The sequence below is a fragment of the Homo sapiens genome, chromosome 17, assembly GCF_000001405.40.
Source record: "Homo sapiens chromosome 17, GRCh38.p14 Primary Assembly".
NCBI lineage: Eukaryota > Metazoa > Chordata > Mammalia > Primates > Hominidae > Homo > Homo sapiens.
This window is the reverse complement of record NC_000017.11, coordinates 48,752,306-48,778,578: the sequence shown is the minus strand read 5'-3', so window position 1 is coordinate 48,778,578 and position 26,273 is coordinate 48,752,306. Positions and strand designations below refer to the sequence as shown.

Genomic DNA, 26,273 nt, shown 5'->3' with positions numbered 1-26,273 from the left:
AGCAATCCTCCCACCTCAGCCTCCCAATGTGCTGGGATTACAGGCATGAGCCACTGTGCCTGGCCTCCTTTTTGGGTAGGATTGTTTGTCTTTTGACTATTCCATTGTGGGAATTACTTAATTTATATATTCTGGAAATTTACTTGATTTTTTCCTAATAGTGTTTTTTGATTAGTGAAAAATTTTAATTTTGATAAAGTTTATCAATTTTTCTTGTATAGCTCTTCCTTCCTTCCTTCCTTTCTCCCTCCCTCCCTCTCTCTTTCTTTATTTCTTTCTTGTCTTTTTTTTTTTTCTTTTTTGAGATGGAGTCTCGCTCTGTAGGCCAGGCTGGAGTGCAGTGGCATGATCTTGGCTTACTACAACCTCTGCCTCTCGGGTTCAAGTGATTTTCCTGCCTCAGCCTCCCAAGTAGCTGGGACTACAGGTACACACCACCACACCCGGCTAATTTTTGTATTTTTAGTAGAGACGGGGTTTAGTCATGTTGGTCAGGCTGGTCTTGAACCCCTGACCTCAAGTGACCTGCCCGCCTGGGCCTAACAAAGTGTTGGGATTACAGGCGTGAGCCACCGGGCGCCCAGCATGGTTGTTGCTTTCTATATCCTATCTAAGAGATTTTCATGTACCTCAGGTCACAAATATGTTCTCCTATGTTTTTTCTTTTTTGAGATGGAGTCTCACTCTGTTCCCAGGCTGGAGTGCGGTAGCACAGTCTCGGCTCACTGCAACCTCTGCCGCCCAGGTTCAAGCAATTCTCCTGTCTCAGCCTCCTGAGGAGCTGGGACTACAGGCGCCCACCACCATGCCCGGCTAATTTTTGTATTTTTGTATATTTTTTTTTTTTTGAGACGGAGTCTCACTCTGTCGCCCAGGCTTGAGTGCAATGGCACGACCTCAGCTCATTGCAACTTCTGCCTCCCAGGTTCAAGTGATTCTCCTGCCTCAGCCTCCTGAGTAGCTGGGATTACAGGTGCCTGCCACCATGCCCAGCTAATTTTTGTATTTTTAGTAGAGACAGGGTTTCACCAGGTTGGCCAGGTTGGTCTCGAACTCCTGACCTCAGACCATCCACCCGCCTCGGCCTCCCAAAGTGCTGGGATTACAGGCATGAGCCACCACGCCCAGCCTAATATTTGTATTTTTAGTAGAGACGAGGTTTCACCATATTGGTCAGGCTGGTCTCGAACTCCTGACCTCAGGTGATCCTCCTGCCTCGGCCTCCCAAAGTGCTGGGATTACAGGCGTGAACCACTGCACCTGGCCACTCCTATGTTTTTTCTAGAAGTTTTATAACTTTAGCTTTGTGTTTCAGATTCATGATCCACATCAAATTAATTTTTAAGTATGTTAGATGACAAGATCCAAGGTTTGTTTTTCCCATATATATGTTCAGTTGTTCCAAAACTATTTATTGTAAAGACTTTCCTTTATCATTGAATTGCTTTGGTAACTTGGCTGAAAAGTGATTGACCATGTAAATGTAGATCTATTTTTGTACTCTATTCTGTTCCTTTGATTTTTTAGGGGTGTGTGTGTGTGTGTGTGTGTGTGTGTGTGTGTGTGTCTATCCTTATGCCAATACCACATTGTCTTGATTACTGAACCTATATAGAAAATCTTAGAATTAGATAATATAAGTCCTCCACTTTTGCTGTTCTTTTTCAAGACTGTTTTGGGTCTTCTAGGTCCTTTGCATTTCCACTTAAATTTTAGAATAAATTCATCAATTTTTGCAAAAAAAGCACACTGGGATTCTGATTGGCATTGTGCTGAATCTGCAGAAAATTTTGAGGAGAAACAATGTCTTTAACAATAGTGAATATTTGGTATTATGCAACAAGAAATCAAAATAAAACAAAATAGTGAATCTTCTAGTCTTCCAACATGATTTATCTTTCCATTTATTTAGATATTCTCTAATTTCCTCAACAAAGTTTTATAGTTTTCAATGTAGACATTTTGCACCTTTTGTTAAATTTATTCCTAAGTATTTGTTGTTTGACAATATTGTAAATGGAATTATTTCTTTAAATTTTAATTTCCAGTTGTTCTTAGCATATAGAAATAATGATTAATGTATACTATCTTGAATTTTGAGACTTAAATTTCTTTTTTTGAGACAGAGTCTCGCTCTGTCACCAGGCTGGAGTGCAGTGGCACGATCTCGGCTCACTGCAACCTCCACCTCCCAGGTTCAAGTGATTCCCCTGCCTCAGCCTCCTGAGTAGCTGGGACTACAGGCGCACACCTGGCTAATTTTTTTATTTTATTTTAGTAGAGACAGGGTTTTACCATGTTGGCCAGGATGGTCTCGATCTCCTGACCTCGTGATCCGCCCACCTTGGCCTCCCAAAGTGCTAGTATTACAGGCATGAGCTACTGCGCCCAGCCTAGACTTAAATTTCTTATGAATTCTAGTAAGTTTTTTTGTTGATTCTTTAGGATTTTCATCATATGTCACTTTCAAATAAAGACAGTTTTATTTCTTTCCAATCATTAGTCTCTTTATTTTTCTTGCTTTATTGCACTGGCTAGGACTTCTGGTACAACGTTGAATAGGGGTGGAAACAGCGAACATCTTTGTCTTGTTTCTGATTTTAGCGGGGAAACATTCAATCTTTTACTATTAAGTATGATGTTAGCTGTCAGGTGTTTGTAGATGCCCTTTATCAGATTGAAAAAGGTCACTTCTATTCCTAGTTTGCTGAGAGTTTTTTAAAATAATGGATGGATGAGGCTAGGTGCAGTGGCTCACGCCTGTAATCCCAGCACGTTGGGAGGCCAAGGTGGGCAGATCACCTGAGGTTGGGAGGTCGAGACTAGCCTGACCAACATGGAGAAACCCCATCTCTACTAAAAATACAAAATTAACCGGATGTGGTGGTGCATGCCTGTAATCTCAGCTACTCAGGAGGGTGGGTCAGGAGAATTGCTTGAACCCAGGAGGCAGAGATTGTGGTGAGCCAAGATCGTGCCATTGCACTCCAGCCTGGGCAACAAGAGCAAAACTCTGTCTCAAATAATAATAATAATAATAATAATAATAATAATAATAGATGGATGTTGAACCTTGTCAAGTGCTTTTTTGGCATCAAGTGATATAATCATATGGATTTTTTTCTTTAGACTGCTAATATGGTGGGTTACACTGATTGATTTTTCAATATTGAACCTACCTTGCATTCCCAGGATAAACCTCACTTGGTCATTGTATATTTTTTAATACATTGCTGAATTTAATTTGCTAAAATTTTTGTTGGGAAATTTTATGTCTAAGTTCATAAAAGATACTGGTCTATAGTGTTTTTTTTCTTCTATTTTCGTTGTATATCTTTGATATCAGTGTAATTCTGGCCCCATAAAGTGAGTTGGGAAGTAGGAAGTATTCCTTTCTCTTTTGTTTTCTGCAAGAGATTATATAGATTTGTTGTTCTTTCTTTCTTTTTTTTTTTTAAGATGGAGTCTCACTCTGTCACCCAGGCTAGTGTGCAGTGGCACGATCTTTGCTCAGTCTCCCAGGTTCAATCAATTCTCCTGCCCCAGCCTCCTGAGTTGCTGGGATTTACAGGTACCCGCCACTATGCCCAGCTAATTTTTGTATTTTTAGTAGAGGTGGGGTTTCACCATGTTGGCCAGGCTGGTGTCGAACTCCTGACCTCAAGTGATCCATCCTCCTCAGCCTTCCAAAGTGCTGGGATTGTAGGCATGAGCCATGGTGCCTGGTGATTTGTCATTATTTCTTATCTAAATATTTGGATAGAATTCTCCAGAGAAACTATCTGGGCCTGGATATTTCTTTTTTAGAGTATTTTAAACTAAAAATTCAATTTAAAAAAAGTAGATATAAGACTATCCAAATAACTTATTTTATTTTGAATGAATTTCGGCAGTTTGTGGTTTTTGAGGTATTGGTTCATTTCATCTGAGGTGGCTTTATACATGAAGAGTTATTTATAGTAGTCCCTATTTTCATTTTAATGTCTGTAGAGTCTAGTGATACCCTCTTTTTCATTCCTGATATTAGTAATTTCCTTATTCTTTCTCTTTTTTACTTTATAAATGTTGCTGGAGTTATCAATTTTATTGACCTTTTAAAAAAAAACTAGATTTTGGGCCGGGCATAGTGGCTCACGCCTGTAATCCTAGCACTTTGGGAGGCCGAGGCGGGCGGATTGCCTGATTTCAGGAGTTCGAGAACAGCCTGGGCAACACGGTGAAACCCCGTCTCTACTAAAATACAAAAAATTAGCTGGGCGTGGCAATGTGCGCCTGTAGTCCCAGCCACTGCACTCCACCCTGGGCGACAGAGCGAGACTCCGTCTCAAAAAAAAAAAAAAAAAAACAACAAACCTGGATTTTGGTTTCATTGAGTTTTGTCTATTTTTCTATTTTTGATTTTATTGATTTCTGCTATTTATTAATACTTGCCTTCTGCTTGCTTTGGATTTATTTTACTTTTCTTGTTTTTTTTTTTTTTTTGTTTTGTTTTTTTTGAGATGGAGTTTTGCTCTTGTTGTCCAGGCTGGAGTGCAATGGCACGATCTCATCTCACTGCAACCTCCGCTTCCCAGGTTCAAGCGATTCTCCTGCCTCAGCCTCCCAAGTAGCTGGGATTACAGGCATGCACCACCACGCCCAGCTAATTTTGTATTTTTAGTAGAGACGGGGTTTCTCCATGTTGGTCAGGCTGGTCTTGAACTCCCGACCCCAGGTGACCCACCCGCTTCGGCCTCCCAAAGTGCTGGGATTGCAGGCGTAAGCCACCCCACCCAGCCACTTTTCTAGTTTTTTAAGGAGAAACCTTAGACTATTAAGACTTTTTTCCTAATATAATCATTTATTTATTTTTATTTTTAAACAGGCTCTCACTCTGTTGCCCAGGCTGGAGTGTAATGACACAATCATGGCTCACTGCAACCTCAATCTTCCTGGGCTCAAGCAATCCTCCCACCTCAGCTTCCTGAGTAGCTGGGATACAGGCGTGCACCACCACGCCCAGCTAATTTTTGTATTTTCAGTAGAGTCTGGGTTTTACCATGTTGGCCGGGCTGGTCTCAAACTCCTGACCTCAAGTGATCCACCTGCCTTAGCTTGTCAAAGTGCTGGGATTATAGGCATGAGCCTGTAATGTGTCTGGGTGTGGTTTTATTTGTAAAAGGTGGAAGATTTATACCATCTAAAGAGAAACCAGAGTATGGTTTTATTTGTATTTATCTTACTTAGGGTTCTTGATCTTGTTTTTATAAGTTGATGGCTTTCACCAAATTTGAGAAATTTATTGCCATTATTCAAAATCTTTTGCTGCCTTATTTTGTTTCTCTTCTCTTCTGGACCCTTCAATAACATGTATGTTAAGTCACAGAATATTGTCTCACAGACTTCTTAGGTTCTATTTACTTTTCTTTAATCTTGATTCTCTTTTGTTTTCAGATTGAATAATTTCTATTGCTCTATAGTCAAACTCGCTGACTGTTTTGTCTGCCATTAAGCCCATTCAGTGAATTTTTTATTTCAATTATTATACCTTTAAGCCCTATAGAAATACTACTCAGTTCTTTTTATTTATTTTTTTGAGACAGGGTCTCACTCTGTCACCCAGGCTGGAGTGCAGTGACACAATTACAGCTTACTGCAGGCTCAACCTTCTGGGCTCAAGCAATCCTCTGGCTTCTGCTTCCCAAATAGGTGGGACACAGGTGCATGCCACCATGCTTGGCTAATCTTTGTAGTTTTTGTACATATTGCCCAGGCTAGTGTTCTTTTTTATAGTTTGTGTTTTTTTGCTTAGATTCCCAACTTTTGAATTTTGTATGCATACATTCTTTTAATTTTTTTTTTTTTTTTTTGAGACGGAGTCTCACTCTGTCGCCAGGCTGGAGTGCAGTGGTGCAATGTTGGCTCACTGCAACCTCTGCCTCCCAGGTTCAAGTGATTCTCCTGCCTCAGCCTCCCGAGTAGCTGGGACTACAGGCGCGTGCCACCACACCCAGCTAATTTTTTGTATTTTTGGTAGAGACGGGGTTTCACCATGTTGGCCAGGATGGTCTCGATCTCTTGACCTCGTGATCCGCCCACCTCGGCCTCCCAAAGTGCTGGGATTACAGGCGTGAGCCACTGCACCCAGCCATATTCTTTTAATTCTTTGGCCATATTTATAATGCCTGCTAAAGTTCTTGTCTGCTAATGAACCAACATTTGGGTCATCTCATAGTATTTTATTTCTTTATTTTTATTTATCTATTATTTTAATTTTTTAAGCAATATGGTCTTGCTATGTTGCCCAGCCTGGTCTGGAACTCCTGGCCTCAAGCAATCCACCTACCTTGGCTTCCCAACGTGCTGGGATTATAGGTATGAGCCACTGCGGCCAGCTGGTCTTAGTGTATTGACTACTTTTTTCTCTCGAGTGTGGATTATATTTTTCTGGTTTCTTTCTTTTCTTTTCTTTTCTTTTTTTGCATATCTAGTGGGTTTTTTTGTTTTGTTTTGTTTTGTTTTGAGATAGAATCTTGCTTTGTTACCCAGGCTTCTGGAGTGCAGTGGCGCAATCTCAGCTCACTGCAACCTCTGCCACCCGAGTTCAAGTGATTCCTCTGCCTCAGCCTCCCGAGTAGGTGGAATTGCAGGTGCCTGTCACCATGCCCGGCTAATTTTTGTATTTTTAGTAGAGATGAGGTTTTGCCATGTGGGCTAGGCTGGTCTCAAACACCCGACCTCAAGTGATCCTCCTGCCTTGTCCTCCCAAAGTTCTGGGATTACAGGTGTGAGCCACTGCACCTGGCCATATCTAGTGGTTTTAAGTTTGGATGCTGGACATCATGAATTATGCATGATGCAGTGATTCATTGTAGAGTCTCTGGATTCTGTTTGTTCTTCTAAAGAGTGATAGATAAATATATATATATACACTAATGTGTATATATACACATTTTATATATATATTTTAGTCAGGGTCTTGCTCTGTCGCCTAAGCTGGAGTGAAGTGGTGTGATCATACCTCACTATAACCTCAAGCTCTCAGGCTCAAGTGATCCTCTTGCCTCAGCCTCCCGAGTAGCTAGGACTACAGGTGTGCACCACCATGCTTGGCTAATTTTTAAACAATTATTTTAGAGATGAGGATCTTGCTGTGTTGCTCAGGCTGGTCTCAAACTCCTGGCCTAAAGTGATCCTTCCACCTCTGCCTCCCAAATAATTGGGATTACAGGCATGAACCACCTTGCCCAGCCTAAAGAGTTATTTTTATTTGAGCCATCCATTAACTTCACATTCTAAATCTACTGTGGTCAGCAGCAATCGAAATCTTATTAGTTATTTCAGCCTCCAGTGCTATTTTTTATTGGGTCCCCTGAGATCCTTTCCTCCTCATTCCACACCCCCCAGCATGTGTAGTTTATCAGTCACGCCAAACTGCACATGAAAGGATTTCACACTTTCACAATTTACACTCTGTTTCTCTGGCTTCTCTGATTGCCTCAAACTTTACCTCTAGCCAGTAAGTCTGTGGCTTCTGCTGCCCACACCATGTGGATTGTGGGTGTCCTCGGACAAAAAGCTGCAAAGCTGCAGATCTCATCAAGTGCAGTTTCTTTTTTTCCCCAAGACTAGTTTTTGTTTGTTTGTTTGGTTGTTTTTTTTTGTTTCTTTGTTTGTTTTTGAGACAGAATTTCACTCTTGTCACCCAGGCTGGAGGACAATGGTGTGATCTCGGCTCACTGCAACCTCTGCCTCTCAAGTTCAAGTGATTCTCCTGCCTCCAGGAGGCAGGAGATTACAGGCTCATGCCTGTAATCCCAGCACTTTGGGAGGCTGAGGTGGGCCGATCACTTGAACCCAGGAGTTTGAGACCAGCCTGGGCAACATGGCAAAACCCCATCTCTACAGAAAATACAAAAGCCAGATGTGGTGGCGCATGCCTGTGGTCCCAGCTACTTGGGAGACTGAGGTGGGAGGATTGCTTGAGCCCAGGAGGTGGAGGTTACAGTGAACCAAGATTGCACCACTGCGCTCCAGCCAGGGTGACAGGGTGAGACCCTGTCTCAAATAATAATAATAATAATAATAACAACAACAATAATAATACCTATTGTTCTGATTGCCAATCTTTATTGTTTATAATCTGTTTCATGTTTAGAGACTTTTAGAGGAGGCTGTAGAGTCTCCTACTGTCTTCTGCCTTACTGTTTAACCAATTCATGGTGAGGAAACTATTCTAACCTAATCTTTCTTGCTGCTAATGAACCAGCTCTTAATCTGTTTATTTTAATCAAGAATAGCATGGGAGCTGGGCATGGTGGCACTCACATGTAGTCCCAGCTACTCAGGAGGCTGAGGCAGGAGCATCACTTGAGCCCAATTTGAGGCCAGCCTGGGCAGCATAGCAAGACCTTGTCTCAAAAAATAAAAATAAAAAAAAAATAGCATAGGAAGGAACCCTTTGCTTTCCACAGTCTCATTTTGAACTGTCTTTTCTTCCAGCACTTAACCTCCGTAGAAACCACCCCAGAATCCACCACCCAACTCTCAATCTCCCCAAAGTCTCCGCCAACCCTGGCTGTGACCGCCAGCTCTGAGTACAGTGGCCCAGAGACGGACAGGGTGGTATCCTTTAAATGCAAGAAGCAGCAGACCCCTCCACACTTAACCCAGAAGAAAATGTTAAAATCTTTTCTGCCCACAAAATCCAAGAGCTTCTGGGAGAGTCCGAACACAAACTGGACTTTGCTAAAGAGTGACATGAACAAGCCACATTTGATATCCGAGCTACTCACCAAGCTTCAACTGAGTGGGAAGCTCTCCTTCTTCCCAGCTCACTACAACCCCAAGCTGGGGATGAATAACCTGTCACGTGAGTGCCAGTGTGTACAGGGATGTGCCAGGAGCTTAAAGGGGAGAGGGACCGATAGAACCAGTCCTAATCTTTGGGGAGCTCCCAGTCTTTGGAGGGGGGACAGCCCCTGTCTTCAGGGAAACCCCAGTCTGATGGTGGAGACACAGTCCATACCATTAGGAAGTCTCTAGTCTGATTGGGAAGACAAAAAAGATAAAAACAGATTGCTGTCCAGTTCCCTTCTTCACCACTTCCTGGTTCTCATTCACATGAGGCTCATTCAGCTGAGGCTGCACCAGTTACTGATGTTAAGTATGAAAAAATGGGGAAGAAAAACTATTTGGAGAAAAGGAGCAATGGCTGATTCTGGCTCAAAGAGCTTTGAATGGCAGTTACAGGCCATGGGACCCTACTGGGAGGTGGTCTTCACCAGGAATTTGTGCTGAATCCAGCAGCACAAATCGCTGATGCTTCTGACTTTGCCTTTCCAGAAAACCCCTCCCTGCCTGGGGAGTGCCACTCCCGCAGTGACAGCTCTGGCGAGAAGAGGCAGCTGGATGTGTCCTCCCTCCTCTTGCAGAGTCCTCAGAGCTATAATGTTACTCTGAGGGACCTGCTGGTGATTGCCACTCCAGCCCAACTGGATCCAAGGCCTTGTAGAAGCCACGCAAGTGCTATGAGGGACCCATGTATGCAGGATCAAGAAGCATACAGCCATTGCCTGATCTCTGGCCAAAAAGGATGTGAGAGGAGCTAGGTAGGCCCACACATATTCCCTTAATGAATTTGGTGCGTTGGCAGGTGCTCTGTGTTTTTCTGGAATGTTGGGTAGGTAGGAGGATGGATGGATTGATAAAGACATACAGGTAAGTAGACAATGAAGACTTAGTAAAAATGTGACCCTGGCTGGGTGCAGTGGCTCATGCCTATAATCCCAGCACTTTGGGAGGCCAAGGCAGGAGGATCCCTTGTGCCCAGGAGTTTGAGACCAGCCTGGGCAACATAAGGGAGACCCCATCTCTACAAAAAATTTAAAAATTAGCTGGGTGTGGTGGCACATGCCTGTGGTCCCAGCTACTTGAGAGGCTGAGGCGAGAAGATTACTTGATGCAAGGGGTTCAAGACTAGCCTGGGCAACATAGCAAGACCCTGTCTCTACAAACAATTTAAAAATTAGGCCGGGTGCAGTGGCTCATGCCTGTAATCCCAGCACTTTGGGAGGCCGAGGTGGGTGGATCACGAGGTCAGGAAATCGAGACCATTCTGGCTAACACAGTGGAACCCCGTCTCTACTAAAAATACAAAAAATTAGCTGGGCATGGTGGCACCCGCCTGTGGTCCCAGCCACTCGGGAGGCTGAGGCAGGAGAATTGCTTGAACCCGGGAGGGAGAGGTTGCAGTGAGCTGAGATTGTGCCACTGCACTCCAGCCTGGGTGACAGAGTGAGACTCCGTCTCAAAAAAATAATAATAATAATTAAAAAATTAGCTGGGTGTGGTGGAGCATGCCTATGGTCCTAGCTACTTGGGAGGCCAAGGTAGGAGGATTGATTGAGCCCAGAGCTGAAGGTTGCAGTGAGTCGGGATTGCACCACTGCACTCCAGCCTGGGTGACAGAGCAGCACTCTGTCTCCAAAAAAAAAAGTGACCCCCTTGCTATGTATTAATATATTTCTGGTAGAACTGATCTGCCCCCACTAGGCACTTTGCCTTGTCTTCCACTTATGGCTAAAATTGAGATAGTCATATATGGAGATCCCAGAAGTAGAACCATGTCAACCATAATGGGTTGATTTTCACATCCTTCAAGCTATGCCGCCTGGTCTAGGCCTAGATCACTTGCCCCAAAGGCTGGCCCTGTAATGGAGTGTGCTGAGGGGACAGAGCAACAGGACAGCAGAGACTGAGATGTGGAACCAAAGGCCTTTGAGAAGCTTTGGTTCCACCGTGCAAAAGGCCCCAGGAGATGGTAAGATGCCCTCCGTCTGAACTTCAGTGCTTCTGAGGGAAGGTCATATGTAAAAACTTCGGAGAACTCCACAACATAGAGCTGTGGAATTAAGGGATCTTTGCTGCTTGACTGTCTAAAGAAGAAGGCTAGAGATGTGAATCGTCTCCCTCCACCCTGCCACGCAAAGCTTACTGTGAGCAGATACTCTGACCTGGCCCCTTGTGACCAGTAGCTCACACTGCAGGAGGGCCTGCAAGGAAACATCCAGCCCATAGAGATCACCTTGGGTTCCTGTAAAAATGCATATTCCAGGGCCTTCTCCCAGAAATTCTGATTCAGTGGTCCTGGGTGGAGAGCCCAGGAATCTGCATTTTATGAAGCTCCTCTAGTTGATTCTGATAGTCCTCTCACCATGCTCAGAGAAGAGCTGGGCCTGATGTTTCCCCATTTCCCTGATGATGGGAATCATATGAGGGCCCTTGTTTAAGCCTGTAGTTTCTCAGGCCAAACCCCCTGGGAATTCTGGCATAAGAGGGCTGGGAAGGGGCCCTGGGAATTTGTCTTTTGAACAAGTCTTTTAAATATGGGTAATAGGTCAGGCACGGTGGCTCATGCCTGTAATCCCAGCACTTTGGGAGGCCGAGGTGGGCAGATCACTAGGTCAGGAGTTTGAGAACAGCCTAGCCAATATGGTGAAACCCCATCTCTACTAAAAATACAAAAAGTAGCCGGGCATGATGGCACGTGCCTGTAGTCCCAGCTACAGTTGTGGTGAGCCGAGATCACGCCACTGCGCTCCTGCCTGGGAGACAGAGCGAGACTCCATCTCAAAAACACAAAACAAAACAAAACAAAACAAAACAACAACAACAAAAACATACGGGTAATAAGTACTTGTCTTACATGTAGACCCAGGCCTGGGCAGAGGAGCCTGTTACAGCCAGCCCTGACCTGTGGGCCTGTTATTGGAGCAAAACTCTGATCCCTAAGGAGCTCCAACCCACTACCACTATCTTCAATTCTTGTGCCTCAGCCTCTTGAGTAGCTGGGGCTAAAGGCATGTGCCTCCATGCCCGGACAATTTTTGTATTTCTAGTAGATATAGGGTTTTGCCATGTTGGACAAGTTGTTCTCGAAATCCTGGCCTCAAGCAATTCACCCACCTCGGCCTCCCAAAATGCTAGGATTACAGATATGAGCCACCACACCCAGTCTGTTTCTACTATTTAAAAAAGGATGATGTAGCACATTACAATGAAAACTTGTATTCAGTAGGACTGTTAAATGAAATAATAATGATCAGAAGCCACACGAAGAAAGGGAAGAGATCATTATATGAAGAGGGTGTGATAAAGTGCTTCCTGCATTGACCGTTGAATTTAGCTCTGAACCTCTTAGCAGAAAAGGCCAGGCACAGCATCCTGTTTTGGTCCTTTTTGTCTGTCCAATCATACTAGAGAGTCTCTAGTGGCATGGACTATGTCTCTGCCATCAGATGGGGGTCTCCCTGAAGACAGGAACTTTATTCCTTCCCTCAAGATTGGGGGCTCCTCAAAGATTGGGACTGGTTCTGTTGGTTTCTCTCCCCACCCCCAAGCTCCAGGTACATCCCTGTGTACACTGGCCCTCACCCGCTTGGAGCTGTAGTGAGCTGGGAAACAGGGAGAACTTCCCCATCAGTTGAATCTTGGTGAATACCTCTGACATCAGATGCTGATTCTTCGTGTCACTTTTTAGCAACGTGGGCTAGATTCCCCAAGAAGCTCTGGTATTTTTTAGGCAGACAGGGTTTCAATATTTTCTCCTAGATGAGTAAAAATAAGTTTAGTAGTTCCTTAGGGAAGACTTCTTTCCCTGAAAGAGCAGTTTATCATGTGGCATCTTAGATCTTTTCTGCCATAATAAGCAATGGCTGAGGGCATGGCCATGTGTTAGTATTAGTCATGGTGCTGGGCATGGTGGCGAGTGCCTGTGGTCCCAGCTACTGGGGAGGCTGAGGCAGAAGGATTGCTTGAGTCCAGGAGTTCTGGGCTGTAATGCGCTACCCTGATCAAGTATCTGCACTAAGTTTGGCATCAGTATGGTGGCCTCCCAGGAGCTGGGGACCACCAGGTTGCCTAAGGAGGGGTAAACCAAGACAGAAATGGAGCAGGTCAAAACTCCCATGCTCATCAATAGTGGGATCACGCTGGTGAATATCCACTGCTCTCCAGCCTAGGCAACATAGCAAGACCCCATCTCTAAAAAAAGAAAAAATCAGGATGATAGATGGTGATAGTTACCCTTTTTTGCTAGCCGACTATAAAGGCGCCAGCACTCTTCTAGATAAATATTTTATCTAATTGAATTTCAATCACAGTTGTACACTTTATTTTTATTTTCTTTGGAGACAGTCTTGTTCTGTTGTCCAGGCTGGAGTGCAGTGGTAGGATCATGGCTCACTATAATCTCAAACTCCAGGGCTCAAACGATCCTCCTGCCTCAGCCTCCCATGTAGCTAGGACTACAGGTGCACATCATGATGTCCAGCTAATTTAAAAAGTATTTTTGTAGCACAGGGTCTCCCATGTTGCCCAGGCTCATCTTGAACTCCTGCCCTCAAACAATCCTCTTGCTTCAGCTTCCCAAAGCTCTGGGATTACAGACGTGAGTCATTGCACTTGGCCTTGAGCTTTAGAAAAGAAAAAAAAGCTGATACTCAAAGAGCATAAGGCTTAACATTCAGCAGGTCCCCCAGTTTTAATTGTCACAGCAAGGATTTGAGTCAGATGCTTCTGATTCTCAAGCCCCAAACTCTTGAAGCCATACTATCTGTCTGTTAAATGATACTTTTCATATTAGTCTTTAGTTAGAGCTGAGGTGACAATAAGTGGCTCTTCAGTGGAGGCATTTCTGCAGGTAGCAGATATGACAAAGACCAAGCAGAGCCTCCTAGAATACCGTATGGGGTCACCAGATCTCAGAACTGGCCCCCTGCTTTTAGGCCAAATAATGTCTTCTAAAAGTTCTCTCCAAACTAATCGGACCATAAAGGACTTACACATAAAAAAGCAGACTCCCAAAAGACTATATACAGCAGAATGTCCATTGGAATGCATGATATTAATGCATTGATTTGCAGACGGAGCAGAATGTGGTTTGAAAAGAGGGCTTCTGCACAATAAATAATGGTTGAAGGAAAGAAGGAAGAGCAAGCAGAGGCCTCAATGGAGGATCAGGGGTTTCTTTGGAAAGCGTAAGAGTAATAACACCTTCCACACATCAGGTTTACAGATCATATCTCATAGAATCCTCACATTGACAATGTGAGGTTGGCAAGGCAGACGTTATTACCTTATGCCCAGTTTGCAAGTGAAGAAACTCAAGGTTGAGGATGTTAAATGACTTGCCCAACCTCACACAAGTGATGGACTGGACAAACAGCTCTATGTTTCCTTCTCTACCATCTGGCCATGAACTTGGCACCCATCCTGACCCATGTGAGGAATGGCGCCCTGACACATTCCTGCATTTTTCTGCTTTAGTGGCTAGAATATCATTCTTCTTCCTCTGGACCCACTTTCACAGTGGGTTGGTCACTGAGTCCATGGTGCAGATCTGTATAAGAGTTGAATTCTAGGGGATAAACAACCTATTTTGTAGGATCTTCCTTTTTTTTTTGAGTCAGGTTCTCACTGTGTCATCCAGGCTGGAGTGCAGTGGCACTATCATGGCTCACTGCAGCCTCAACTTCCCAGGCTCAGGAGATTCTCCCACTTCTGCCTCCTGAGTAGCTGAGGTGACAGGTGCTTGTCACCATGCCTGGCTAACTTTCCTTTTCTTTTCTTTTTTCTTTTTGGAGTCTCCCTCCGTTGCCCAGGCTGGAGTGCAGTGGCGCGATCTCAGCTCACTGCAACCTCTGCTTCCCAGGTTCAAGCTATTCTCCTGCCTCAGCCTCCCGCTAGCTAACTTTTTCTTTCTGTTTTTTTGTTTGTTTGTTTGTTTTGTTTTGTTTTTAGAGACAGAGTCTTGCTCTGTCGCTCAGGCTGGAATGCAGTGGTGTGATCTTGGCTCACTGCTACTTTCACCTCCCAGGTTCAACTGATTCTCCTGCCTCAGCCTCCTGAGTAGCTGAGACTGCAGGTGTGCCACTGTTCCTGGCTAATGTTTGGATGTAGCTTTAGTAGAGATGGGGTTTCTCCATGTTGACGAGGCTGGTCTCAAATTCTTGACCTCAAGTGATCCACCTGCCTCAGCCTCCCAAAGAGCTGGGATTACAGGCATGAGCCACTGTGCCTGGCCTCATTTTGTAGGATTTTAAGGATGACTCATGGCTTGGTAAAGTGGGATGCCTGGCATCTTACTGAATCAATGGTACCTGCAATGATGGTGATGCTATTGCTGATGAGGATGATATTGTGCTGATGGTGATGAGCCCAGCGTGAACTGGCCCAAGACACACTTCCCACTGGTGTACTAAAAGCTTTGCATATATTGTCTCAGTCCTCGGGGCATTGTTGTTGTCTCTTTCCAAATGGGGAAACCAAGGCTGAGAGAGGTTGAGTAACTTGTCCAAGGGCATACAGCTTCTTAACCACTATAACATTCTCTCCAGCCAGCCATCTTGGCTGCTCTTAAATGATCCATATCCAATATTTCAGGCAAGAAGGCTACAGGAAGATGAATGTTGTGTAGGTAGAATGAGTTTCTGGTGACTACAGATATAAGTCACCTAAGCGTCTCTTGATCCACTAGATAGGAATGGTGATGATGAGTTCATTGACTTTAATATTCTGGAGGCCATTTTAAAGGAAAATCTAAAAAAAAAATTTTTTTTTTCCAGAATCAGACTGGATCTCTGCCACTTTTCCCTTCCTACCTCTTAACTTGCAGGAAACAATGTGTCTCTTCCGACAGTGTCTCCAGTGTTCACAGAATCAACTGAAGTTTTGTTTGCTCATCTAGATATACTGGTCTTCCATTAGTTCCTAGTAGCAGCAATGGGGCCAACAGCCCTGCCTCTGTTCCCTCCCAGTTAGCTTACAGTGCTACAGGACCATGATTTCTGGGGTTGGATTGGTGCTGCCCCAGGACACACTCCAGTTGCCGTACCAGTGGCACTTCTCTGGGTTCTTCACATGGCACCATCATCCAGAATACTCCCCCAGATAAAGCAACTTCGGGAGTAGTGTTTCAGAGAAGGACTCATGATTTCCAGGAGTCAAAAGCCCTCAGTCCACCAACAGAACTATGCCAGTTGGTCTTCGTCTCCAAGATAAAAGATGAGGTCAGGGATGGGCATGGTGCATAACTCTGAGCCCTGAGTGAGAGAACTGAGGCAGCTGCAACTTCACAAGGTCAAGGCCCGACCTCCGCCCATCCCCACCAGCCCAAAGACTTGCCACCTCAGTGCCCGAGCATCCTCTGGTGACCTCCCTCACCAGCCCAACTTAATCTCACCAGTGAAAACAGAGGTGAGGCGAGAGTACCCAGCCTGAAGATGCTTCTTCTATCAGCCTGCAGAAATGTTACACTTTCCCTTCAGGCATCCATTAATAAAAGAAATTGCCATGCTTACTGCCAGGAGGAGGAGCCTGATTTGGAGGGATAATGGGAAAGGAGGGTTGTGGGGAGACAGTTATCCTGAGTACCCCTCACTAAGAAAGCTCCAGGCTGGGCGCAGTGGCTCATGCATGTAATCCCAGCACTTTGGGAGGTTGAGGCAGGCAGATCACCCAAGGTCAGGAGATCAAGACCAGCTTGGCAAACATGGCGAAACCCCGTCTCTACTAAAAATACAAAAATTAGCCAGGCATGGTGGCGGGCATGGTAGCTAGTAGTCCTAGCTACTCAGGAAGCTGAGACAGGAGAATCGCTTGAACCTGGGAGGCAGAGGTTGCAGTGAGCTGAGATCGCGCCACTGCACTCCAGCCTGGGCAACAGAGTGAGACTCCGTCTAAAAAAAAAAGCTCCAAATACATTAAAAATAGGAAGCTTTGAAGACTTTCTTGGGACAAATGGTCTACAGTAAGCCCTGCCCTCCTTGCTAGGAGCCCAGAGCCTGACGTGGACGTTGCCCTGTCTGGGCAACTGACTCCACCAACTCTGCCCAGCACAGGGCCTGGCTAGACCGCAGGCATAACATCTTTCCTTATCTGCCAGCTCACTCTCTGCCCTTTCCAGGAATGTGATCCATTTTTGCTTCACTCACTCTTCCTGAGTCTGATCCCTGGTGAGACCTTTGGGGCATATGAGGCAGAGGTGGAAGAAGTAAGTTCTGAAGACAAGTGCTTGCTTCACAGTGTTGACCTGGCTTTGCCTTATGGATTTCCAATAGAACGAATTTCTGGCCTCAAGAATGTCAGGGGAACCTGGGATGCTTGAAGCCCACAGTACCCTTCAGGCAAAAGACCTTAATTATCCAAGATATTGAATGGAGACATTAGACTCAAATCATTTGTGTCCAGCTCTGAAACACACATATGTACACGTCATCCCCATGTCAGCCTGGTTTTCAAGGATCCCGGGATAGCGTTCTTTTCTTTTTAGTAAATAGTCAAGGCCCACCTGGATGGCAAAAGAAGCCAAGGCCTGGTTATCCCAGCAGACAAGTAAAAGCTTAATTGCCATCTCAACCTCCACAAGCCCATTCCTGACGCCATTCGGAAGGCTCAAAACAGACTGATGTGAGGCCACTTTTCCCATTGTTCTCATCAGGTTGTCAGAGATCATAGCCTGGCCCAAGCAAAAGATGTAAGACTTGCTGAAAAGGGGCTTCCTGGAATCTCTACATCTCTCCCCTTTTCTTCCTGGTCACGAGTTCCAGCCAGTCGAGATTCCTGAGCTGATAAAAAGGAAGTATCTTAATAAGACGATGCCAGAATTATTTGGCTGTCTGTGGGACATGTGGTGCCAGCACCTTTGCTCCTAGAGACAGGACATGCAATCTGTGCAGTTGCACAGGGTCCTGCACTTAGAAGAGCCCTGTATTTGCCACCATATTGAAATTCTGAATCATTTTTGAACAAGGAACTCTGCGTTTTCATTTTTTAGTGGACCTGCCAAATTTTGTAGCACATCCTGTCTAGAGGCTTTAACAGCTCAAGGTTATCCAACGAGAAGGCACAATATCAGGCTGCCTTCCCAGCCCCACCCACCTCCTGTCTGTTCACTCATAGGGCTGTGCAGAGCACAGTGCTTCTGTGAGACAGAAAAATGCTGTGGCAGTTCCTGCTCCCAAAGAGTGTGCAGTGGAGGAAGGCGGGTCCACAGATAACTAGCCTGAGTTAAGTGCCACTAAAAAAGAGTGTCAGTAGACGAGAAGGAAACACCCTCACACCTAGCTGGGAGGACCAAGTCCACTTCATTGGAGGAGGTGATATTTGAGGTGGCAGGAAAAGACAAATAGGATTTTATTATTTTTATTTTTTAAGATGGAGTGTCATTCTGTCGCCAGGGTGGAGTGCAGTGGCATGATCTCAGCTCACTGCAACCTCTGCCTCCTGGGTTCAAGCTATTCTCCTGCCTCAGCCTCCTGAGTAGCTGGGATTACAGGCGCCCGCCACCATGCCCAGCTAATTTTTGTATTTTTAGTAGAGACAGTTTTCACCATGTTGGCCAGGATGGTCTCGATTTCTTGACTTTGTGATCCTCCCACCTCAGCCTCCCAAAGTGCTGGGATTACAGGCGTGAGCCACCGCACCAGGCTGATAAATAGGATTTTAAAAGGTGGATATAAGATATGGACTGAGGTATAGAGGCCTGGAAGAAACTAAAAACCCTGAACATGATCAAGAGGTAAGGTCTAGGCTGGGCGTGGTGGCTCACGCTTGTAATCCCAGTACTTTGGGAGGCCGAGGTGGGTGAATCACCTGAGGTCAGGAGTTTGAGACCAGCTTGGCCAACATGGCAAAACCCCATCTCTACAAAAAATACAAAAATTAGCCAAGTGTGGTGGCACGCGCCTGTAATCCCAGCTACTCGGGAGGCTTAGGCAGGAGAATTGCTTGAACCCAGGAGACAGAGTTGGCAGTGATCCAAGATCATGCTGCTGCACTCCAGCCAGGGCAACAAGAGTGAAACTCCGTCTCAAAACAAAAACAAAAACAAAAACAAAAAAGTAAGGTCTAGTCCAGTTTGGCTGGATCAGAAAGGAAATTGGGAGATGAAGATGGAAAGATAGATTAAGAGACCATATTGGAAACCCAGTGACCCTTTGTTTATATTGCCATTATTGCACTCCTCATGATAATGAATTTGTGCAGCTGTCTGTCCACTGGAATGTACCATGTCTCTACATCTTTATATTCTCTGCTTTTAGTTTAGTACCTAGGACATAATAGGAATTCAGTAAATATTTGCTGAATGAATAAATATTGCAGAGGATCTAAACTGTTATCCTGGGTAGTGTTTACCTAATTCAGCAGGCAGTGGGAAACTGCTGAAGGTTTTTGAGTAGGAGATTTTATTTAGTGTTAGGAAGATGAATCTAGTAGTAGATGGTGGAGTGGCTTGGCAAGGGGAGGGACCCAAAGGTGGGAGAGGGCTTGGGAGTCTCATACAGTGGTCCAGGATTCAAGCCCTTGCAGCCTCTATCAGGATGGCTGGCTGGGGGAGAGAAAAGGAGGCAGATATACCTCAATAAGCTGGAAGAAAAAAAAAGAGGCAAGTGAGAAAAATATCGTAGAGCTGGGACTTAGCAGCTGACTGTGTGGCAGAGGATAAAGGAACAATAAAGAAGGCTTCAAAGGAACTGAGTCCGCTGAAAGAAATTGGGAACATTAGGAGAAGGAGCTTTGGGAGGATAGAGATCAAGGTATCTGTTCATAAAGCAGTTGGATGAACTCCTGTCCCCAGACAGATTTATGAAAGCAACACTGAAGGAAAAGTTTCCAAGTGCAAAAGTGACGTTTCTGAAGACCAAGTTGTTAAAAATAGCCATCTTGGATGGGGCAGGTTCTCTCATCTCCAGGCTCAGAGATATCTGGGCAATTGTAAAGACCTGTGGTTCTCCCTAGACTTTATTAGTCACTTTGGAGCAAGGGGGAGGTAAACTTGGATTTAAAAAGCTCTGCCTGGCCGAGCGCAGTGGCTCACACCTGTAATCCCAGCACTTTGGGAAGTCGAGGCAGGCGGATCACCTGAGGTTGGGAGTTCGAGACCAGCCTGACCAATATGGAGACACCCCATCTCTACTAAAAATACAAACTTAGCCGGGTGTGATGGCAGGCACCTGTAATCCCAGCTACTCGGGAGGCTGAGGCAGGAGAATCGCTTGAGGCAGAGGTTGCGGTGAGCCAAGATCGCGCCATTGCCCTCCAGCCTGGGCAACAAGAGTGAAACTCCATCTCAAAATAAATAAATAAATAAATAAATAAATAAATAAATAAATAAATAACTTAAATAAAATAAAAATAAAAAGCTGTGCCAGGGAGTTCTGATGCTTAGTCAGGTTTGGGAACCACTTGCCTGGCTTACCCCACACTGGATTAGGCCGCCTCAGACAGCATGGGTAACTCTTACTAGCCTTAAAAGGGTGACTTCAGGCCGAGTGTGTGGCTCACACCTGTAATTCCAGCACTTTGGGAGACTGAGGTGGGAGGATGCTCAAGGAGTTTGAGACTAGCTTAGGCAACATAGAGACTCCGTCTCTACCAAACAACAACAGCAACAAAATTTGCCAGGCATGGTGTTGCACACCTATAGTCCCAGCTACTCGGGAGACTGAGGTGGGAGGATTGCTTGAGCTCAGGAGGCTGAGGCTACAGTGAGCTATGATTGTGCCACTGCACTCCAGCCTGGGTGACAGAGGGAGACCCTGTTTTAAAAAAAAGTGAGTTTAGATTCCAGCTTTCCTTCCACCCTGGCAGAGAGTGTAAGCAAGGCAGACCGGCAGCTGTTGTAGGCTCCCTCCCCACACTCATCCTGTATGATTACATGAACTGAATGTAATCATTCACAACCCTTGCCTTTACAGCTGGCATGTCACTTAGCTTAATTACAGCATGCAGTGGTATTTCAATTCGAGGAATCTAAAAAAGCAATAAAATGAGTTTTGCAAATTGTTAGGAAGGCAATGAAGACCTTGAAACTGCAATTTACTAAGCATTGCTTTCAATTATTTTGCATTCTCCAGCCATGACTGTAAGTTATTCACTAGCAGCCTGGAAAGCCAAGCAGGTAGTGTGTCATGTGGAGGGGATTTCATGTCTTCTGAATGCACACTGTGCTGGGGAGGTGGCTGGAGGTTCTGGGAGTTGCCTTGGCTATGGGAGGGGATGTGATTATTCTGAGCACATGTTCTTCCCATCAGGCACCTGATAATCATGTTTCCTCCAAGACTCTCCTCCAAGACTCTCCAACCGTGGGCTCTGGCTGGTGTGGGGTGACCTTCAGCAAGGGGCTCCCTTCCCCTTTACTCCCGCTATCTACTACTGTCCTCAGAAAGCATGAGGAAAGAAGTGTGGAAAGCAAAGCAAGTCCTTTAAAGATCTAGGGTTAGTGCCTGTTTTTTCTGGCTCTCTGTCTCATTTCTTTTCCTGGCGTACTTCCTGATTCATCTTAGTCCTTGAGTATGTACTTCTTGGGGAGCCATTTGAAAGGGAAAGTCTGTGGCCTCTTTTCACCACCCTGCTTTCTCAAGCATAGGAGTCTTGTGACAATGATAATAAAATAGGACCCCATCCATCTGAGAAAGGGGAAGCAGCAGCAGCAGGAAGTCTCAGCCAGCATGATAAGCAGGAGCAGAATGCCAGCTGCCTTAGCAGCCATGCCAGGCGGGAGAGCAAACACCTAAATCCTGTTGGCAAAGCCAGCAAGACACCATCACGCTGTGGCCAAAGCAAACAGGAGCTGAGACAGGCCCACTGTAATGGATTCTCACTTCCTCCTGGATCTGGCAGAGGGTGAGACTAAGCCAGCTGAACCCACGTGACAGGGCATCAAGTAGCCATGGGGATGCTCATACCCATCCCTGGGCTGGGCCCAAGCTGGACCCTTGCCTTCTTTGCCACGGTCTCTTTTCTTTTCTTTTTTTCTCTTTTCCTTTCTTCCTCATTCTTTCTTTTTTTTTTTACGGGGTCTTGCTTTGTCACCCAGGCTGGAGTGCAGTGTCTAGATCATGGTTCACTGCAGCATTGACCTCCTGGGCTCAGTGATCCTCCCAACTCTCCCCACTGAGGAGCTGGGACTACAGGCATGCACCACCATGTCTGGCTAATTTTATTTTATTTTATTTTATTTTATTTTATTTTATTTTATTTTATTTTTAAGATATAGAGTCTCACTATGTTGCTGAGGCTGGTCTCAAACTCCTGGTCTCAAGGGATCTTCCTGCCTCAGCCTCCTAAAGCGCTAGTATTACAGGCATGATCCAAGCCACCTTGCCTGGCCCCACAGTCTCCTTTCAATTTGGTCCAGGCCAAGGAAAGGCTGATAATGAAAAACCATCGTCACATATATTATGTGGTTGATTCTTCACAGCAGTTCTGTGAGATCAATATTATCCTCATCTTATAGATGTGAACACTGAGGCTTGGGGATATCAAGGACACAGAGCCAGGCCTTAGTCTCAGGCCTCTGACTCAGTGTCTGCTGCCGATCTCATTTCCTCCACCCTTCCACCTCTCCACCCCAAACTCTCCATGTCAATTCCCACAGTCCCTTCATGGGCTGAGCTCCCACAGTCTAAATGGGACTTGAGTTCTTTTTTTTCCATTTCGTAGTTGAGAAGCAAAGACTCCAGAGTGGGGGTGGGGCTGGGGGTATTTTTTGTTTCTAAACCAGAAAACAGCTAGTTGACGTACTTGATTCTGTCTACCACACCCACCAACATGACTGGAGGTCCAGTGAGAAGTATATGTTTACAAATATTTTCAATCACTTTTCTATATCAGCAGCATCCCCCTCTGTTATTAAAACGTGAAAGATCTGAATCAAGACCTCTTGTTTTTAATGCCATAATTTGGTTGTGCTTGGACATAGCCTGAATAGACCCCCTTATGACCTGAAGCTTCTTGGTGTCTCTAGGGCCCAATGTACCATGGAAATTCATATCCCTCACCACCTAGTTTGGAAATTTATATTTATTAATGGAGAAATGCACAGTAGCTATATTCATATCTAAATGAAAGACTGGGCTTCTATTGAGAGAAGAAAAAGCGCTGTTGGATAGGACATTCCCTTCTGGTTCTCCATTTCCCAGCCGATTTGCTGATTATTGAAATGATTTCTCAATCGCTCTGTTGGAAGGGAAAGGACCGGAGAAGGAAAGAGGAACCGTTTATTGGGCTCAGAGCCAATTCACCGGTTCTTTCTTTTTTTTTTTTTTTTCCCCCTGGCCTTTTCATTTGCTCTGCTTCTAGGGACCCTAAAGGAAAATACCATTCAACAGAAGGGGCCGTGGAAACTGTAGGTAGATGGCGTGATTGGAATATCTCCTCCATTCCCCCATATCTGAAGTGGGTAGTTATAGGGCAGGTGGGGATTCTGCAGGAGAGAGCCAGGCCTGCGTGCGTGAGGCTGGCTTGGAGGTCCTGTTGGAGAAGGCGCGCTCGGGAAGGTTCTTCCTAGCGAATTTGCCTGAAATTGGAGATTAGGACGCCCAGAGAGGAAAACCATGCCCCGCCCACAGCCCAGTCCCGAGTTCTTGAGCCCCGAGCTCCTTGGCGGAAAAAGACCCCGGGTCGACGAGAAAAGTGCTTCCCCGACGCTGAGCCTTGCAGGCGGGGCTCACGCCCAGGCGCCGCCTACGCGCACCCTCCGCCGGAGGGCATCCCGGCTCCAGCGCAGAGCCCGAACCCGCACCGTGCCGCATGCAACGCAGGGCCAAAGGGCTTCGCTCCAGAGGGGTCGGAGAGAAATCCAGCAGAGGCTGGAAGAAGCAGGACCGGGGGTCTCAGTAGAAATGCTCAGGGCAGGGCTAGACCAGCCCGTTCCCTCTCGCTGTTCTGCTGGTTTTGCCCAAGCGGCTCCGGCTCTGAAGCCCCAAAGCCTCAGAGGTGAATTCGGTTCCAGAAGGAGCGTGGAATGGGGTTCCTCCGGTTCGGGCGTGTACGCGACATTGTTAACGTAGCGCGTATTATGTGCCAAGCACTGGGGCAAAGCGCTTTTACAAGCTTTATTATCCCCCAAACCACTTTATGAGGGGGATACGAGCCCCATTTACAGATGAGGAAACTGAACCCGAGAGAGTGTAAACCAGTATGTGTCCCAAGCAAGACTGGACGGGGCCGGTGACTCCACGGCCAAGCGAGATCTCTGTAGCCCTTCCCCGACCACAGTAGTTTGAACTTGAACTGCAGACACGGAATTCTAGTGTGGAGATCAGTGTGAAGCCACGGAGGGGAACAGCGCTTCGGGTTCCAGCGTGGTCACTTTCATTCCGTCACTGTTCCCATTAGGACTCCAGAGAAAGACTGGGAGGGAATGGTGGTTACGCCAATTTTACAGTGTAGGAAACAGGTTTATGTGCAGGTCATAGCTACTGCAGAGACAAGAGCCCATCCCGGGAAGGTCTTCTGATGTCCCAAACCCAGGAAGAGCTTTCAGCCAGGGCGTTCATCCTGAATTTTTCATGTGCCACGTAAATGGGGTGCTGAAACAGGCCCTGAGGAGTGTTGCTGCCACGGCACCTGGCCCTCCACAGAGCCCTTAGGTTTCCTGGTGTGGAGGACCACTGTGTGAACGACGAAAGGGAACTGAACTCTCCCTTCTTCCCTTCCTCCCTTCCTTCTTTGCTTCCTTCCTTCTGCTCACCGGCTGTGGAGAAGAGTGGGCTTGGGTGATTTTCCTGTGATTCACTTCCCAGTCATCCTAGTCACTCGGCTGAGACAGGGCAGAGGCCAAGTGTCCGAGGGTTTTTTTCTGGGACACGCGCAGTTTGGCCTTGGCAAAAATCCGAGAGGAAGATGAGGCAGGCGGGACATTATTTTGGTCACTAAGCACGGGGCTCTGCAGCGCTGGGCTCGCCACTGCATTGATTTAATTCCAGCATCAACTCTGCAGTTATTTTACCTATAAGGAGACTGTGTTCAGGGAGATGGAGACCGTTGCTTGGGCCTGAAGCTGCTGGGGAATGGGACTGGGGTCTAAGCCAGGTCTATGTAACCTCATAGCTTTGCCCTGCTCTGCCGGTGGCCCAAGAATGGAAATAAGAGTCAAAACAGCCTCCCTGCACACCAGCAACATTAAAAATGACAGCCACGAGATTCTTTCTTCTTTTTTTTATTTTCTTTTCGATGAGAGTCTCACTACATTGCCTAGGCTAGAACTCCTGGCCTCAATCGATGCTCCCACTTCCATCTACCAAAACGTCAGGATTACAGGCATAAGTAACCAAGCTCAGTCCAGTAACCATTTTCTTAAGGTTCAGTGACAAAGTCCCTCCCCAAGGAGTATGGATTTCCACTCTTGTGCTAGGGAAAGTTGAAGTATGTGCCTCTAACCCTTCACAGATGCCCACTTTCCCTTCAGAGAAACGTCCTTCAGGTGATTCTTAACAAACTGGAATCTGGAAGCTGTGCCCTCCAGCTTCCCCCGCCACCCAGCCCTTCCAGCTTCCCCGTCGTTTCCACAGTCGCATTCCCGAGGTCCGCGTGAGCCGTTCTTTAGCCAGACAGAAACTACGCCCCATGTGATTGATGCTTCTGCCTTGGCCTCAAGTAGGCAACGTGGCTGCCCGCTTGGAAGACCGCCCTGGTTTCCTGGCAGGAGAGAGGATTTCAGAGGTCTCCTCCACTCAGAATCCCTCCTTCCCCCTTCCCTCTCCCTGCCGCCCGCTCCTTTCTAGTCCCAACAGTTTCCAAAGCGCAGAGGATGTTTACCTGGACGGCCTGAGGTCACAAGCCTGATTCACCGCAGGCAGGCCCCCGAGCCTGCCCCCACCCGGCACCCCGGCTCTGCCAGGGCGAGGAGATCACGCTTGGAAACCCCACCCTGCCGGGCCAAGAAACACCCCCGCCACTCCCTAGACTCCCAGGCATCCCTACCGCGCCTAGGCCCTTCCTCCCAAAGGCGCTGGCCAGGCCCAGATGCGGGAAACCGTGGGAGAACCCGGAGGGGGCCCTGGGCGCTCTTCCCACCCGCCCCCCGTCCCATAACTGCCCCTCGCTGCCAAAGATTGAGGGTCGGGCTGAAGAGAGGGTAATGAGCTCCATTTCACCTCCGATTCATTTTAAAACTCGCGTGAACCAACCTGGGGCATTCCCTGACGAATGAACGGTTTTGGGTTTACTCCCAAACCGGGCTGAGAGACTCTCCTTCAGGCTTGGTGATGGAGGCCATAAGGCAGAGACAACTTGCTCCGTTTCATCAGCCAGGAGTTGGAAGTTCAGGGGATTTCCAAGTGAATCTCAGGATGAAGGGACGTTTGTCTTCTCCCTGTGTCCTCTAAGGATGTTCCCCTTCCCTTCAGAACCCTGAGGGGGTTAATGTTTCACCAGTCACTCCCTTCCTCCCTCTCCTGTCACCTGGGGGCTCCAAGACACACCCCAGCCCCTAACCCAGCCACTAC

General features: G+C 46.4%; 1 protein-coding gene, 1 long non-coding RNA gene and 1 pseudogene across 12 annotated transcripts in view, besides 2 other annotated features; 2 read left to right on the top strand and 1 right to left on the bottom strand.

Annotated features, from left to right (window-relative positions):
• TTLL6 (tubulin tyrosine ligase like 6) overlaps positions 1-16,345 on the top strand; it is a 54,996-nt gene extending 38,651 nt beyond the window's left edge. For 7 of the 10 annotated variants that reach the window (XM_017024491.3, XM_017024493.3, XM_047435804.1 and 4 more), the window contains 2 exons: positions 8,482-8,851; positions 9,325-9,590. In XM_017024491.3, coding sequence (XP_016879980.1) covers positions 8,482-8,851; positions 9,325-9,590 — 636 coding nt within the window. Of the gene's footprint in view, positions 1-8,481; positions 8,852-9,324; positions 9,591-15,605 lie in introns of those variants that run through there. The other 3 variants (NM_001130918.3, NM_173623.4, NM_001366314.2) reach the window with 2 other exon arrangements.
• Positions 12,732-13,025, top strand: RN7SL125P (RNA, 7SL, cytoplasmic 125, pseudogene; annotated as a pseudogene).
• Positions 16,346-23,864: 7,519 nt separating the features above from the next.
• LOC105371812 (uncharacterized) lies at positions 23,865-26,151 on the bottom strand. Of its 2 annotated transcripts, none has more exons than XR_007065830.1 (2): positions 25,956-26,151; positions 23,865-25,464 (listed from the first exon to the last, which is right to left on the bottom strand). It is a non-coding gene; the product is annotated as an uncharacterized LOC105371812 (long non-coding RNA). The 2 variants fall into 2 exon arrangements; XR_934824.3 differs by lacking the exon at positions 25,956-26,151 and adding an exon at positions 25,585-25,673.
• Positions 24,003-24,992: an enhancer, noted in NCBI's record as "H3K4me1 hESC enhancer chr17:46830949-46831938 (GRCh37/hg19 assembly coordinates)". NCBI's record gives its function as "activates a minimal SCP1, AML or CMV promoter by ChIP-STARR-seq in naive H9 embryonic stem cells {active_cell/tissue: H9 hESC(naive)}" and the evidence as "EXISTENCE:reporter gene assay evidence [ECO:0000049][PMID:30033119]".
• Positions 25,045-25,962: an enhancer, noted in NCBI's record as "H3K4me1 hESC enhancer chr17:46829979-46830896 (GRCh37/hg19 assembly coordinates)". NCBI's record gives its function as "activates a minimal SCP1, AML or CMV promoter by ChIP-STARR-seq in naive H9 embryonic stem cells {active_cell/tissue: H9 hESC(naive)}" and the evidence as "EXISTENCE:reporter gene assay evidence [ECO:0000049][PMID:30033119]".
• Positions 26,152-26,273: the final 122 nt, after the last annotated feature.